This window comes from Homo sapiens, chromosome 2, assembly GCF_000001405.40.
Source record: "Homo sapiens chromosome 2, GRCh38.p14 Primary Assembly".
Lineage (NCBI taxonomy): Eukaryota > Metazoa > Chordata > Mammalia > Primates > Hominidae > Homo > Homo sapiens.
Window position 1 is genome coordinate 69914263 of NC_000002.12, and position 846 is coordinate 69915108.

General features: G+C 65.4%; 4 annotated features.

Annotated features, from left to right (window-relative positions):
- Positions 11-60: an enhancer, noted in NCBI's record as "active region_15980". NCBI's record gives its function as "activates an Ori minimal core promoter by ATAC-STARR-seq in GM12878 lymphoblastoid cells {active_cell/tissue: GM12878}" and the evidence as "EXISTENCE:reporter gene assay evidence [ECO:0000049][PMID:35858748]".
- Positions 73-678: an enhancer, noted in NCBI's record as "NANOG-H3K27ac-H3K4me1 hESC enhancer chr2:70141467-70142072 (GRCh37/hg19 assembly coordinates)". NCBI's record gives its function as "activates a minimal SCP1, AML or CMV promoter by ChIP-STARR-seq in primed H9 embryonic stem cells {active_cell/tissue: H9 hESC(primed)}" and the evidence as "EXISTENCE:reporter gene assay evidence [ECO:0000049][PMID:30033119]".
- Positions 161-270: an enhancer, noted in NCBI's record as "active region_15981". NCBI's record gives its function as "activates an Ori minimal core promoter by ATAC-STARR-seq in GM12878 lymphoblastoid cells {active_cell/tissue: GM12878}" and the evidence as "EXISTENCE:reporter gene assay evidence [ECO:0000049][PMID:35858748]".
- Positions 371-570: an enhancer, noted in NCBI's record as "active region_15982". NCBI's record gives its function as "activates an Ori minimal core promoter by ATAC-STARR-seq in GM12878 lymphoblastoid cells {active_cell/tissue: GM12878}" and the evidence as "EXISTENCE:reporter gene assay evidence [ECO:0000049][PMID:35858748]".

An 846-nucleotide genomic window follows, 5' to 3' on the forward strand; every position in this document is an offset into this window, starting at 1 on the left:
TCTTCTCAAGCCCCGCAGCAGCCACGTGGCGCCTGCCCTAGCTCCCGGCTCACCGGCCACTAGCCTGCACCGCTCTTCGGGAGGATTCGAGGCTGGGCCCTCGCCAGCCCGAGTTCCGCGAAGCCCAGAACCTCCAGGGCCGCGGCCACCAGACCGAGGGCTCCGGCCCCGAACCCAAGCGGGGCAGAGCGCCCAGGCGACACGAGGTGCCAGCCTTCCATTCGATGGACGCCTGGCAGGTCCCCGGAAGTTTTCCCCGGGGACAGGTCTTGGCAACAGGTCCGAGGCAAGGCCGGGTGGAGCAGAGCTCCGCAGCGGCTGGTGAATCAGCGCCGCCCAGCGCCGGACCGGCCCTCCCAGCCAATGCCAGACCCGGTGAGGAGCAGCCAGGCTGCTGACCATCAGCCACTTAGGGCTCGCCTGGCCTGGAGAAAGGTGACATCATCGTAGCTGGGAGGTTTCCGAAGGCTTCACCAATGGGAGACCGGCGAGGTGCTTGCCTTCTGCAGCTCTTGGCCAATACTAACAAAGCAAAAGGGGGCCCGGGTTGTTGGTATAGAACCAATGGGAAACAAGGAAGGAGCACGAGGCGGAGTTGCGAATCCTGTCACCAGTTGGAAAGAGGGGGTGGAGCCCGGGCCTTGTCAAGTGTGACCAACCAGCGAGAGGAGCGGACTTTGCGGGGTGGAGCCCTGAAGCCCTCTCCCAATCGCACAAGTGTAGGGGCGGGGCATTCTTTGGGGGGCCCAATGAGGAACGCGGCCGAAGCTGGCCTGTCAAGAGAAGGGGCTGGGGGCGGGGAGATGGTGAGTCGGGGATAAACACTCCGCGGCGGTGGCGGCTGCT